The sequence below is a fragment of the Homo sapiens genome, chromosome 4 (genome assembly GCF_000001405.40).
Source record: "Homo sapiens chromosome 4, GRCh38.p14 Primary Assembly".
In the NCBI taxonomy this organism is placed as follows: domain Eukaryota; kingdom Metazoa; phylum Chordata; class Mammalia; order Primates; family Hominidae; genus Homo; species Homo sapiens.
In genome coordinates this window covers 59,518,297-59,533,523 of record NC_000004.12, presented here as the reverse complement: position 1 = coordinate 59,533,523, position 15,227 = coordinate 59,518,297, and the positions used below count along the sequence as shown (strand labels likewise).

At 37.6% G+C, this 15,227-nt stretch overlaps 1 annotated feature.

The window, feature by feature from the left end:
* Positions 14,724-14,945: a silencer, noted in NCBI's record as "fragment chr4:60384297-60384518 (GRCh37/hg19 assembly coordinates)". NCBI's record gives its function as "represses an EF-1alpha promoter that drives an FKBP-Casp9 reporter gene in an ReSE screen in K562 erythroleukemia cells {active_cell/tissue: K562}" and the evidence as "EXISTENCE:reporter gene assay evidence [ECO:0000049][PMID:32094911]".

Below are 15,227 nucleotides of genomic sequence, written 5' to 3'. Positions count from 1 at the left end.
CTTCATTTATGAGGCTCTCTCTCTAAACAATGCATGTGTTTTTGTCTTTGGTTCTGTTTCTATGCTGGATTACATTTATTGATTTGTGTATATTGAACCAGCCTTGCATCCCAGGGGTGAAGCCCGCTTGATCATGATGGATAAGCTTTTTGATGTGCTGCTGGACTCGGTTTGCCAGTATTTTATTGAGGATTTTTGCATCAATGTTCATCAAGGATATTGGTCTAAAATTCTCTTTTTTGGTTGTGTCTCTGCCCAGCTTTGATATAAGGATGATGCTGGCCTCATAAAATGAGTTAGGGAGAATTCCCTCTTTTTCTATTGATTGGAATAGTTTCAGAAGGAATGGTACCATTTCCTCCTTGTACCTCTGGTAGAATTCGGCTGTGAATCCATCTGGTCCTGGACTCTTTTTGGTTGGTAAGCTATTGATTATTACCACAATTACAGAGCCTGTTATTGGTCTACTCTGAAAGTCAACTTCTTCCTGGTTTAGTCTTGGGAGGGTGTATGTGTCGAGGAATTTATCCATTTCTTGTAGATTTTCTAGTTTATTTGCGTAGAGGTGTTTGTAGTATTCTCTGATGGTAGTTTGTATTTCTGTGGGATTGGTGGTGATATCCCCTTTATCATTTTTTATTGTGTCTATTTGATTCTTCTCTCTTTTCTTCTTTATTAGTCTTGCTAGCGGTCTATCAATTTTGTTGATCCTTTCAAAAAACCAGCACCTGGATTCATTAATTTTTTGAAGGGTTTTTTGTATCTCTATTTCCTTCAGTTCTGCTGTGATTTTAGTTATTTCTTGCCTTCTGCTAGCTTTTGAATGTGTTTGCTCTTGCTTTTCTAGTTCTTCTAATTGTGATGTTAGGGTGTCAATTTTGGATCTTTCCTGCTTTCTCTTGTGGGCATTTAGTGCTATAAATTTCCCTCTAAACACTGCTTTGAATGTGTCCCAGAGATTCTAGTATGTTTTGTCTTTGTTCTCATTGATTTCAAAGAACATGTTTATTTCTGCCTTCATTTTGTTATGTACCCCGTAGTCATTCAGGAGCAGGTTGTTCAGTTTCCATGTAGTTGAGTTGTTTTGAGTGAGTTTCTTAATCCTGAGTTCTAGTTTGATTGCACTGTGGTCTGAGAGACAGTTTGTTATAATTTCTGTTCTTTTATATTTGCTGAGGAGTGCTTTACTTCCAACTATGTGGTCAATTTTGGAATAGGTGTAGTGTGGTGCTGAAAAAAATGTATATTCTGTTGATTTGGGGTGGAGAGTTCTGTAGATGTCTATTAGGTCCGCTTGGTGCAGAGCTGAGTTCAATTCCTGGGTATACTTGTTAACTTTCTGTCTCGTTGATCTGTCTAATGTGGACAGTGGGGTGTTAAAGTCTCCCATTATTATTGTGTGGGAGTCTAAGTCTCTTTGTAGGTCACTCAGGACTTGCTTTATGAATCTGGGTGCTCCTGTATTGGGTGCATATATATTTAGGATAGTTAGCTCTTCTTGTTGAATTGATCCCTTTAGCATTATGTATTGGCCTTCTTTGTCTCTTTTGATCTTTGTTGGTTTAAAGTCTGTTTTATCAGAGACTAGGATGGCAACCCCTGCCTTTTTTTGTTTTCCGTTTGCTTGGTAGATTTTCCTCCATCCTTTTATTTTGAGCCTATGTGTGTCTCTGCATGTGAGATGGGTTTCCTGAATACAGCACCCTGATGGCTCTTGACTCTTTATCCAATTTGCCAGTCTGTGTCTTTTAATTGGAGCATTTAGTCCATTTACATTTAAAGTTAATATTGTTATGTGTGAATTTGATCCTGTCATGATGATGTTAGCTGGTTATTTTGCTCGTTAGTTGATGCAGTTTCTTCCTAGTCTCGATGGTCTTTACATTTTGGCATGATTTTGCAGTGGCTGGTACCAGTTGTTCCTTTCCACGTTTAGTGTTTTCTTCAGGAGCTGCTTTACGGCAGCCCTGCTGGTGACAAAATCTCTCAGCATTTGCTTGTTTGTAAAGTATTTTACTTCTCCTTCACTTATGAAGCTTAGTTTGGCTGGATATGAAATTCTGGGTGAAAATTCTTTTCTTTAAGAATGTTGAATATCGGCCCCCACTCTCTTCTGGCTTATAGAGTTTCTGCAGAGAGATCCGCTGTCAGTCCGATGGGCTTCCCTTTGTGGGTAACCCGACCTTTCTCTCTGGCTGCCCTTAACAAACCACATGATTATCTCAATAGATGCAGAAAAGGACTTTGACAAAATTCAACCACCCTTCATGCTAAAAACTCTCAATAAATTAGGTATTGGTGGGACATATCTCAAAATAATAAGAGCTATCTATGACAAACCCACAGCCAATATCATACTGAATGGGCAAACACTGGAAGCATTCCCTTTGAAAACTGGCACAAGACAGGGATGCCCTCTCTCACCACTCCTATTCAACATAGTGTTGGAAGTTCTGGCCAGGGCAATTAGACAGGAGAAGAAAATAAAGGCTATTCAATTAGGAAAAGAGGAAGTCAAATTGTCCCTGTTTGCAGATGACATGATTGTATATCTAGAATACCCCATTGTCTCAGCCCAAAATCTCCTTAAGCTGATAAGCAACTTCAGCAAAGTCTCAGGATACAAAATCCATGTACAAAAATCACAAGCATTCTTATACACCAATAACAGACAAACAGAGAGCCAAATCATAAGTGAACTCCCATTCACAATTGCTTCAAAGAGAATAAAATACTTAGGAATCCAACTTACAAGGGATGTGAAGGACCTCTTCAAGGAGAACTACAAACCACTGCTCAATGAAATAAAAGAGGATACAAACAAATGGAAGAACATTCCATGCTCATGGGTAGGAAGAATCAATATCATGAAAATGGCCATATTGCCCAAGGTAATTTATAGATTCAATGCCATCCCCATCAAGCTACCAATGACTTTCTTCACAGAATTGGAAAAAACTACTTTAAAGTTCATATGGAACCCAAAAAGAGTCTGCATCGCCAAGTCAATCCTAAGCTAAAAGAACAAAGCTGGAGGCATCACACTACCTGACTTCAAACTATACTACAAGGCTACAGTGACCAAAACAGCATGGTACTGGTACCAAAACAGAGATATAGATCAATGGAACAGAACAGAGCCCTCAGAAATAACGCCGCATATCTACAACTATCTGATCTTTGACAAACCTGAGAAAAACAAGCAATGGGAAAACGATTCCCTATTTAATAAATGGTGTTGGGAAAACTGGCTAGCCATATGTAGAAAGCAGAAACTGGATCCCTTCCTTACACCTTATACAAAAATTAATTCAAGATGGATTAAAGACTTATACATTAGACCTAAAACCATAAAAACCCTAGAAGAAAACCTAGGCATTACCATTCGGGACACAGGCATGGACAAGGACTTCATGGCTAAAACACCAAAAGCAAGGCAACCAAAGCCAAAATTGACAAATGGGATCTAATTAAACTAAAGAGCTTCTGCACAGCAAAAGAAACTACCATCACAGTGATCAGGCAACCTACAAAAAGGGGGAAAATTTTCACAACCTACTCATCTGACAAAGGGCTAATATCCAGAATCTACAATGAACTCAAACAAATTCACACAAAAAAAACCAAACAACCCCATCAAAAAGTGGGCAAAGGACATGAACAGACACTTCTCAAAAGAAGACATTTATGCAGCCAAAATCACATGAAAAAATACTCACCATCACTGGCCATCAGAGAAATGCAAATCAAAACCACAATGAGATACCATCTCACACCAGTTAGAATGGCAATCATTAAAAAGTCAGGAAACAACAGGTGTTGGAGAGGATGTGGAGAAATAGGAACACTTTTACACTGTTGGTGGGACTGTCAACTAGTTCAACCATTGTGGAAGTCATTGCAGCGATTCCTCAGGCATCTAGAACTAGAAATACCATTTGACCCAGCCATCCCATTACTGGGTATATACCCAAAGGACTATAAATCATGCTGCTATAAAGACACATGCACACATATGTTTATTGCGGCACTATTCACAATAGCAAAGACTTGGAACCAACCCAAATGTCCAACAATGATAGACTGGATTAAGAAAATGTGGCACATATACACCATGGAATACTATGCAGCCATAAAAAATGATGAGTTCATCTCGTTTGTAGGAACATGGATGAAATTGGAAATCATCATTCTCAGTAAACTATCGCAAGGAAAAAAAACCAAACACCGCATGTTCTCACTCATAGGTGGGAATTGAACAATGAGAACACATGGACACAGGAAGGGGAACATCACACTCTTGGGATGGTTGTGGGGTGGGGGTAGGGCGGAGGGATAGCATTAGGAGATATACCTAATGCTAAGTGATGAATTAATGGGTGCAGCACACCAGCATGGCATATGTATACATATGTAACTAACCTGCACATTGTGCACATGTACCCTAAAACTTACAGTATAATAATAATTTAAAAAAATGCATGTGTTTAGATATAGTTAGATTAACATAAAATTATGGAGAACTTCATGAAATTTCTCAAAATTAATAGAATTATGCCAACAGTTTACCTGCTCTTTGTACTAAATAATTCATAAGAGGCTTTAGTTAATAATCATTAAGAATTACCAATATTCATTACACTGATCTATAAGGATATTTATTTTAAGAATTTTATTTCTTTGTTAACACATATTTATATTACTTTTTATTTTGTTTTCATGTATGTTTCTACATTGATGATCAAAAGTAAAAAGATATTATTTGCTATAACACATTTTAGGCAATAAACGTTTCTGAAATCATCAAATTTTTGATGCTATAAGAAAAATTACTGCACCAATGTTGAGAAATCAGAAAATATAGCTCAAATTATTTTAAAAGAAAAATATTCTAGTTAACATTATATTAATTCTAAGTTCAAAAATTTTCTCCATTAGCAATAGGAACATATAGTTATCAGAAAAAAATTCACAGAAACTGCAAGCAAATAAAAAAAATCAATAAAAATCTTCCTTGTGATATTTTGCTCCATTCAAAAAAATGATGGGTTAAGATTATTTTCAGTAATTTGAAAAATCCAGGTGTTCAGCATCATATTTTATTATGTTTGATTACAGTATTTAGCTGTTTGTCACAAAAAGAAAAGCTATCAACTGCATAAGCCAGGTTGAAGGACACTTTCCAGGAAAATAGTTGGAAGTAGGAGCACAAAAATTAGCAGGTTGATAGACTGAAAAAAAAGCTTTCAATTTAAAATACCATTTGAATTCCAGCTAAAATGCATTTACGTTTTATGCTTTTAAGCAAGTTACCCTCTAAGAGCTCAGGATTTTAATATAAAATATGGAGGTAATATGTTTAATTATTGTTCTGAACATTGAATTTGATCTATTTAATAAAAATAGCTAATAATAATCTAATACTTATGAGTGACCCACACTATATAAAACACTGTTTATCACATGTTCACTTATTTAATCCCCACAATTACTTAGTAAGTAAAATACTAATATAAATATTATTTTACAGAGGAGTCAAGTGAGGCAAAAAGTGAGTAACTTGCCCAGTATTACACGGTTATTAGATGGAAGAGTTAAGATTAATGTTTAAGCAACCTGTCTCCAGATCCCTTGCTGTTAATCAACACAAAAAACTATCTCCCTAGAAAGCATCTGATATGGTGCTTGGAATATAGTACATGCTCAATAAATGATAGTTATTCTTTAAAACTGTTGGCTGTCACATCAAGTGTGTATTTGCTCTTAGACATTAGTAAACCTTATTAAGCTTCAGTTTCTTTGTTAATGTAATTAAAAGAATGAATCATACTATTTCCTTATAAATCACAAATTCTATGATGATGACAGTATATTATGCTTATTTAATTATGGGCTAAGAAATAATTTTAATCTTTTTTCAAAAACTTACCCTACGACAATTATCACTATCTTGTGTCAGAATATGTAATATATAAACATTGTTATGGTTGCAAATCATGAGTGAGACTCAAGTTAACTACACTAGGGTTATTATACAAAATAACTTATATATGCCTAGGGCACATTTTTAGCACTAGAATTTGTCTCCACCTGAGTAGCCCATATTTATTTAGACAATTAATTCAGGCAAAAGATTTCAGATGATGGCATATTTAAATATGAATAACTTGACCCTTACTTATTTTGTCTCTGAAAGCGTGCACCTTGATACATAAAACTAATAATTTCATCTGCTTGAGTATTTCTCCAAAATTCAGTCAAAACACTTTGGTATGACATTTTTGAACCAAAGTCTTCTTAATACAAATGTAATTAAATTTAACAAATGTTTATTAAAATATGTCAAGTACTACAGACACTGTATAGAAAAAATATAAGACCAAAACACATTATTCAGTCTCTGGATTCTTATGGATACAAACATATATGCACCTATATAGAAAACAGATTAAACTAAAATAACTGTGTATGTATGTGTGTGTGTGTTAGTGCATATGCATTTGGAAATGTTGGTTATAAAAAGAAAGCAAACCAGAGGTTATAAATTGGTGCCAAGTCAAATAAGTGAAGGCGGAATTGAGATGGATGTAGCACATTACATAGACTTTTTTCACTGACTGCAACCCCAGGGGAGTAGAATCATGCCCAGTAAACTGGAATAATAGCATTACTTTTGGAAAGTTTTAAAACATTTTTAAATGATTATTTTCTAAAGTTCTTTCAACCCTGTTAAAATGTAGGACCGTGCTTAAAAGATTAAACGGGGAGAAAATAAAACAGCAACAAAGAACTCTTCTTCAATCAAAGACTTCTGATTAAACTTTTAAAAAATAGTTTTGGGTCAAACCAAAGTCAAGTATCTGACACAACTCCAAGATCTAAATACAGATCAGTGAGGTAAAACTTGTGACTGGTTAGGATCCATTTGTTTGCAGAGTTTTGACTGTATAGACTGAGATGTTCATGTATTCATCTAAATTTTTTAAGTAAAAAATGTTAAACTTTAGAAAACTGACAAGGCTGTTTCCCTTGGAAAGGTGATCTTATCACACTAGAGAAGGCAGTAAAGTTTTCTTAACCTGCATTTTAAAGTTACAATAGTGTTTTAAGTTTCCTGTACTTAAGGTCTTCTTGTCTATGATAGTCATTTTTATTGAAAATATAAATGCATTTATTAGAAACTCTATTGGGTATAATCATGAAGATATAAATAGGCTGTTACAACCAAGCCCCAGTGTAAAGGTGGCTTAAATAAAATGCTAGTTTGTCTCTCTAATTTAGGGGTGTGAGAGTAATCCATCTAAGAATAATGGGCTAGCATCATGTTGTCATAGACACAGACTCTTGTATTTTGTTTCTCTGCCATTTCTATAGGCCTCATTCATGTAGTCCAAGATCATTCACTGCCATACATGCACTCATAAACAAATATAATTCCTGCTGACAGAAGTGCACAGCCCAGGGTATAAGATAAATCTCCAAGGCCTCAGCCTCTTTCTCTGTGGAGGAGATTGTGACTGCTAGCAAGCACAGCTACTGCTACTACAACTTACAAACAACCAGCATTTGAAAAAAAAAAAAAAACCCACTACACTAAGGCTATCTATAACCAAGGAACATATATAGAGACTTGGCTCCCCAAAAGCACAAAGACACAAAGCTAAAGGACCACACCCAACATACACATGTCACACTCTCAAGAGAGAAAAAATTCTCACACAAAAACAAAAGGAAATTCAAAAATTTTGAATCAATGTGATATTACAACTGATACTACAGAAATAAGAAAGACCATCACAGACTACTATGAGTATCTCTATGCACACAAACTAAAAACCTAGCATCAATAAATAAATTCCTGGAAATGTACAACCTCTCAAAATTGAACCAAAAAGAAATAGAAACCCTGAACAGATCAATAATGTGTAATAAAATTGAAGCAGTGATTAGAAAGTCTCCTGACAAGGCAGAGGTTGCAGTGAACCAAGATTGTGCCACTGCACTCCAGCCTGGGTGACCGAGGAAGACTCCATCTCAAAAAAAAAAAAAAAAAAAAAAGTCTCCTGACAAAGAAAAATCCAGGACCAGACAGATTCACAACTGAATTTGTCAGATGTACAGTAAAAAAGTGGTACCAATCTTACTAAAACTAGTCTAAAATATTGAGGTAGAGAGGTTTCTCCCTAACTCATTTTATGAAACCAGTATCACCCTGATAGCCAAATTAGGCAAAGACACAGCAAAAAAAGAAAACTACAAGTCAATATCCCTGATGAACATAGATGCGATAATATTAAACAAAATACCAACAAACTGCATCAAACAGCACATTAAAAAGATAATATATCAAGTCAAGTGGGTTTCATTTCAGGGATGAAAGAATGGTTCCACATACCCAAATCAACAAACTTGATGCACCACATGAGTAGAAATGGAAACAAAAATCATACAATCATGTCAATAGATGCCGAAAAAACATTTGATAAAATCCAACAACCCTTCAAAGCATTCCTCCCAAGAAACGGAACAAGACAATGATGTCCACTTTCATAATGCCTATTCGGCATAGTGCTGGATATCATAGAGCAATCAGAAAAAAGAAAGAAATAAAAGGCATTGAAATTGGAAAAGAATAAGTCAAATTATCTCTGTTTGCTAACAATAAGATTCTATACCTAGAAAACTCAAAAGATTCTCCCAAAAGACCACTAGACTTGATAAATGACTTCAGTAAAGTTTCAGGATACAAAACCAATATGCAAAAATCAGTAGCATTTCTATGTACCAATAATGTTCAAGCTTAGAACCAAATCAATAAATCAATCTCAGTTATAATAGCCACAAAGATAAAATACCTAGGAATACATATAACCAAGGAGCTGACAGATCTCTACAAGGTGAACTACAAAATACTGATGAAAGAAATCATAGATGACACAAATGGAATAACTTCCCATGCTCATAAATTGGAAGAATCAATATCATTAAAATGACAACAGTGCCCAAAGCAATCTACAGATTCAATGCAATTCATATCAAACAACCAATGTCATTTTTCACTGAATTAGAAAAAAAATCCAAAAACGTATATGGTACCAAAAAGAGCCCCAAAGCCAAAGTAATCCCAAGCAAAAAGAACAAAGGTGATCATCACATTATCTGACCTCATATTATACTACATAGCTATATTAACCAAAACAGTATGATCCTCGCACAAAAATAGACACATAGGTAAATGGAACAAAATATAGAACCCAGAAATAAAGCTACATATTGAACAACCAACTGATCTTTGACAACCTTGAGAAAAATATACAATGGGGAAAAGACACCTTATTCAATAAATGATGCTGGATTAATTGGATAGTCACAGAAACTGGTCACCTCTCTCTTACAATATACAAAAATTAACTCAGGATGCAATAAAGACTTAAATGTAAGACCTTCTAGGATTCCTAGAAATCCTAGAAGAAAATCTAGAAAAAATTCTTCTGGACATTGACCTAGGGAAAAAAAAATGTGTGACTGAGACCTCAAAACAAATGCAACAAAAATAAAAGTAGAAAAATGAAAGTTAAATTAAACACTTCCGCACAACAGAAGAAACAATTGAGTAAACATACAACAACAGAATTGGAGGAAATATTTGAATAATATGCATCTGGCAAGGGATTAATATCCAGAATCTATGGGAAACTCAAACAATCAATGAGGAAAAAAACAAATAACTCCATTGAAAAGTGGACAAAAGATATGAAGAGGCATTTTTCAAAAGAGTATATAAAAGTGGGCCAACAAACATATGAAACTACAATCAACATCACCAATAATCAGAGAAATGCAAGTTAAAGCCACAGTGAGATACAATGTCACACCAGTCAGAATGACCATTATTAGAAAATCAAAACACACACAGACACACACACACACAACAGATGTTAGTGAGGGCATGGGAAACTGATAACACTTCTACACTGTTGGTAGAAATGTAAATTAGTACAACCTCTATGGAAAACAGTATGGACATTTCTCAAAGAACTAAACTAGTACTAACATTTGACCCAGCAATCCTACTACTGGTTATCTACCCAAAGGGAAAGATTTGCTATATTCAAAAAATATCTGCACTTGTATGTTTATTGCAACACTATTTGCAATAGCAATGTTGTGGAACTAACCTAAGTGTCTGTCATTGGATGATTGGATAAAGATAATTTGGTATATATACATCATGGAACACTACCTAGAAAAAAATAGTATCTTGTAGCAGCATGGATAGAGCTGGAGGCCATTTCCTAAGTAAAATAATTCAGAAAAAATATAATCAAATTCCACAGTTTCTCATTTATAACTGGGAGCTAAACAATGAGCACACATAGACATACAAATAGAAATAAGAGACACTGATGACTCCAGAGGAGGGGAATGTAGGAGTGGGTTGAAAGTTGAAAAATTACCTATCCAGCACAATTATCACTATTTAGATGATGGGCACACTAGAATCCCAAACCTGATCATTATGCAATATATCCATGTATGAAACCTACACATGTACCCCCTGAATCTATTAAAACTAAAAAGCTGTAAGTGACAAAAAATAGCTGTTTTTAATAAAATCAGGGAATTAAAGGGAAGTGTAATAAATGTGATGGTCAAGGGCTTTTGACATCCTTGCACTGTGGATTTTCCCAGGGTCTCGCATAACCAAGACCCAAACGGGTAGGTATGTTCTCACCTGAGAAGTGATTTGTTATGTGACTATGCAAATACTGAGTTCATGAAGATATGATTAATGTTTCTCAGGTAATTCAATTTAAGATCTTAAACTAAAAATCCAATTCTGAAAATTAAAATAGAAATACAGTATACAACAACAACAAAAATGCATGAGGATGAGCATGCCTGGTTGGTTGTTCATATTTTGTGGTATCTGGCAAAATCCTACATAAAGTTAAATTGTGGTGTTGCTTCTTATAATAGAAGCCAGAGTAATCTTTTAAAAACCTTTTCCCTCTATCACTTTGCTAAACACCCTCCAGGAGATTTCCCCATTCTTCAGTAAGAGCCAATGCCTTCCCATTCATTGGCCACCAAGCACTGCACGATCTTGTTGTTCTCTGACTTCATCTCTCCTCCTGACTTTACTATAGCTAGCCACTTGCTCTTTCTGCTGTTTCTGGAATTCTGCCTCAGAGTTTTTGAAATTGTTGTTTCTGCCTGAAATATTCTCCTTCCGAATATCTTAGGACTTGCTCTCTTACTTCATTATGTCTCCGTTAAAAACATCACCAAGTCAAAGGAACATTCCCTAACTAGTCTATTTGAAATAATACATTATTTTCACGCTTTTTCCACTTAGTTATTTTTTTGTTTGTTTCTGATCACTCATTCATTTAATTCATTCTTTTGTTCTCCATAGTCTTTTGTTAAGCAGGCTGTAATTCCCATGAAAGCAGAGAGTTTCTTCTTTTTTAAATTTATTTTTATTTGATACATTGTAACTGTACACATGTATAAGGTATATTTGATGTTTTGATACATACATATGTTGTGTAATGATCAAATCAGTGTATTTAGCTCTATCATCACCTCATGCACTGATCATTTCTTTGTGGTAAAGATGTTAAACAGCCTATTTTCTAGCCGTTTTGTAATATACAATATCTAGCTGTTAACCACTCACCCTACTGTGCAATAGAACATAATAACTTATATTTTCTCTCTAATTGTAATTTTGTATCTATTGATCAAATTGTCTCTATTGTCCCCTCCCCATACTCTCCCCAATCTCTGGTTAACAGAGAGCAGGGACTTTCCATGTTCGTGTTCGCTGCTGAATATCCAAGGTTTAGGAGAGGACCTAATGGTTTATAGGCTCTCAATAAATATCTGTTGAATAGAAGGGTAAAATAATGTGACTGGTGCAATTTTTGATGGAAGAGAGCAAGCAGTTGTTGGACAAAACCACCCTTGATATGGAAGCCAACTAGTGGACTTGATGGATTTGTTAGATAAATCCATAACTTTTCTCAGTCAACTAAAATTTTCATTTTTAACTTGGCTCTGTATTATCCCACAGAAGGCTTCACCTATTATTGTCTCACCTACCCAAACAGCAACATGTCATCTATATGTACTTTTTTCAAATATGATTTGAACCTTAACTAAATATTTTCATGTTATACTGATAAAACTGAGAGCTTTGTATCTGAGACCGGTATCCTGATAGAAAAATAGGTCCATGTAATTGTCAGAATCATAAACAGTTAAGGAAATGCTGTAATAAATGGAGTCCCCAATAAGTGGCTAGAAGCACAACCACATGCAAAGACTTATCCTGTAACAATATTCCATTGGTTAACAAACAGACCCATTTTCCTGCCTCTTCACATTCCAGTCCATCCTCATTAATTTTGATCACTTACGTATAACCTTAAACCATGAGCTACAAGACAATGCTTCAGAGCTTTATAACTTTTTGACAATGCTGTATCTTCACTAACAGCAAAGGAAAATAGAGCTGTTTTTGTAGAAATGGAATTCATGGGAATATCAGTTGCAGTTTCCCTAGGGACATACTAGCAGAAAATTACAAGATATCATTTCAGTAACAGACAAAAGTAATTCCAAGAAGTTTGGAGAAGCCAGATTACCTCCTGATTCATTTATCAAAGTGCCTGCAGCTCCCATTTTAAGTCAGGTGAAACAACAATAAATATTTGCAAAGTAAATTAATCTGTACCCAGATATTTTAATAAATAAAATGTCAAAAGAACACAGTAGAGTGCATTTAGCTCTTGCCAAATTCAGTAAGTGAAATTTGACTGCAATGGTGGACAAAATTAGCATAAAGGAAATAAAAATGCAAAGAGCTTTTGAATAGAAGCTTTTTGTATTCACTTTATATGGATTCTCTGAATACAATTTTAATCATAAAAATGACCACATAATGTAAAATTGCTTCAGGTAATTAGTAACCAAAACATATACCTAAAGTTTCCATTTTGATTAGTAGTGGAAATAATAAAAAGAGATTTTAAAATGCTCAGAACTAGAGTAGTTGAGTGTTTTATTTTGCTAAATTGGAATGGTAAGGTAGAGGAATTTTTAGTTGGAAAAGGAATTCTTCTAGAAACAACCTAAGATAATTTCTTTGTTTCTGTGTGTCATCTGCCCCTGAGTTGAATAGGATCAAAACACATTTCCTAAAAGTTCACTGAAACATCTGACAAAAATATTTATTCTGAAGCACTGCTTGCATGTTTTTAGTTTATTTTCATTAAGAATCCAAAGAGTGTCCATAATATAAATTAGAGGTTGGCACCATTCCCCTTAACAAAAACTGAAAAAAATTCCAATGGAATATGCTCAACCTGAGATATTTCCTTTGTTGCAGAATATATTTTGTGCATATTTTGTAAGTTAAAAAACCCATGAAACAAAAATCTAGAACCTAATAAATGGCTAAACAGCTTCAGGGAGTATCTGTTATCCAAATTGGTACCAGACATCCTCATTCACGCTATTCAGGAATCTCAAGCCAAGCACATATTCAACTGAATTTGGCTCCTGTTGTATTCTTTATTTTATTTTTTTACATAATTGACTTATATCAATGTTAACTAAAAGCATAAAGGAATTCTCAATTCCTCTCTTTCTTTTACACCTGACTGAAACATTCACATACTTCTGTTCCTATTTCTAAAACTTTCTCTTCATCCCCTTTTAAAATCTATATCTAATACCATTGCACAAATGTTAAATTCTCATCCTTCTCATTTAGACTATTATAGGAGCACCTTAAATATTACTCTCCCTAGTGTGCTACGCACAAAACAATTGTCTTTCCTCAGGTCAATGTATTAAAAACAGAAAATCCTCCAATGTCAGAACTTGAAATCTTTCCATGGTTTTCTATTACAGAGTTGAAGTTTTCTAGGGCAACATTTACCTCATTCTGTTGATGGCAGCAACCGGCCATCCGGAGCGGCCGCTACCAACATGCCAGCTGTAGAGGGGAGGTGCAGGAGGGGCTGCAGGAGGGGCTGCAGGAGGGGCTGCAGGAGGGGCTGCAGGAGGGGCTGCAGGAGGGGAGGTGCAGGAGGGGCTGCAGGAGGGGCTGCAGGAGGGGCTGCAGGAGGGGCTGCAGGAGGGGAGGTGCAGGAGGGGCTGCAGGAGGGGCTGCAGGAGGGGAGGTGCAGGAGGGGCTGCAGGAGGGGCTGCAGGAGGGGAGGTGCAGGAGGGGCTGCAGGAGGGGCTGCAGGAGGGGCTGCAGGAGGGGCTGCAGGAGGGGAGGTGCAGGAGGGGCTGCAGGAGGGGCTGCAGGAGGGGAGGTGCAGGAGGGGCTGCAGGAGGGGCTGCAGGAGGGGAGGTGCAGGAGGGGCTGCAGGAGGGGCTGCAGGAGGGGCTGCAGGAGGGGCTGCAGGAGGGGAGGTGCAGGAGGGGCTGCAGGAGGGGAGGTGCAGGAGGGGCTGCAGGAGGGGCTGCAGGAGGGGAGGTGCAGGAGGGGCTGCAGGAGGGGAGGTGCAGGAGGGGCTGCAGGAGGGGCTGCAGGAGGGGAGGTGCAGGAGGGGCTGCAGGAGGGGAGGTGCAGGAGGGGCTGCAGGAGGGGCTGCAGGAGGGGCTGCAGGAGCAACAGCGGTAGTGGTAGGACCCCTGTGCCCTGCAACCTGGAGGCAGCCTACTGTGCTGCCCTCACCCTCTCACAGTCAAGCGGGACCCACTCCCAGGCCCAGAGCCTCCGCTGCTCGGGGATCGGGACCCGGGCCCTGCGGCCACTGCTGGGAGGGTGTGGAGAATAGGCGGACAATCACCAGAGCCTGCACCGAGGACTGCCGCGATGGGACCAGGCTGAGTCTGGCGGGGAAGCAGAGCATTCAGGAAGAGAGGGGAAGGCAGAGAGAGGCCCCAGGTGGAGCCGAGTTTGGGGTGGTGCGGTGCTTCACGGAGCTGGTGGGACCCGGGGACAAGCATGAGCCCCGCCCCTTTCAAGTTGGCGGGGAGGGAGTTCTCAGGCGCAACGGCAACCACCCAAGCCAGGGTGAGACCGGTGCACACCTGTGCTCTTGGGAGCCAGGAGCAAGCAGGAGCCCAGCCCTCCCAGGTACCCCTGCAGCCACCCTGCCACAGCTGTGGATCCAAGCATCTCTGCACTCTCAGGGGCCCAGGAAGGCCCCTGCCCCTGCAGGGCTGGAAGTGCCTGCCCTGCTGCCCAGCTTCTCCCCAGT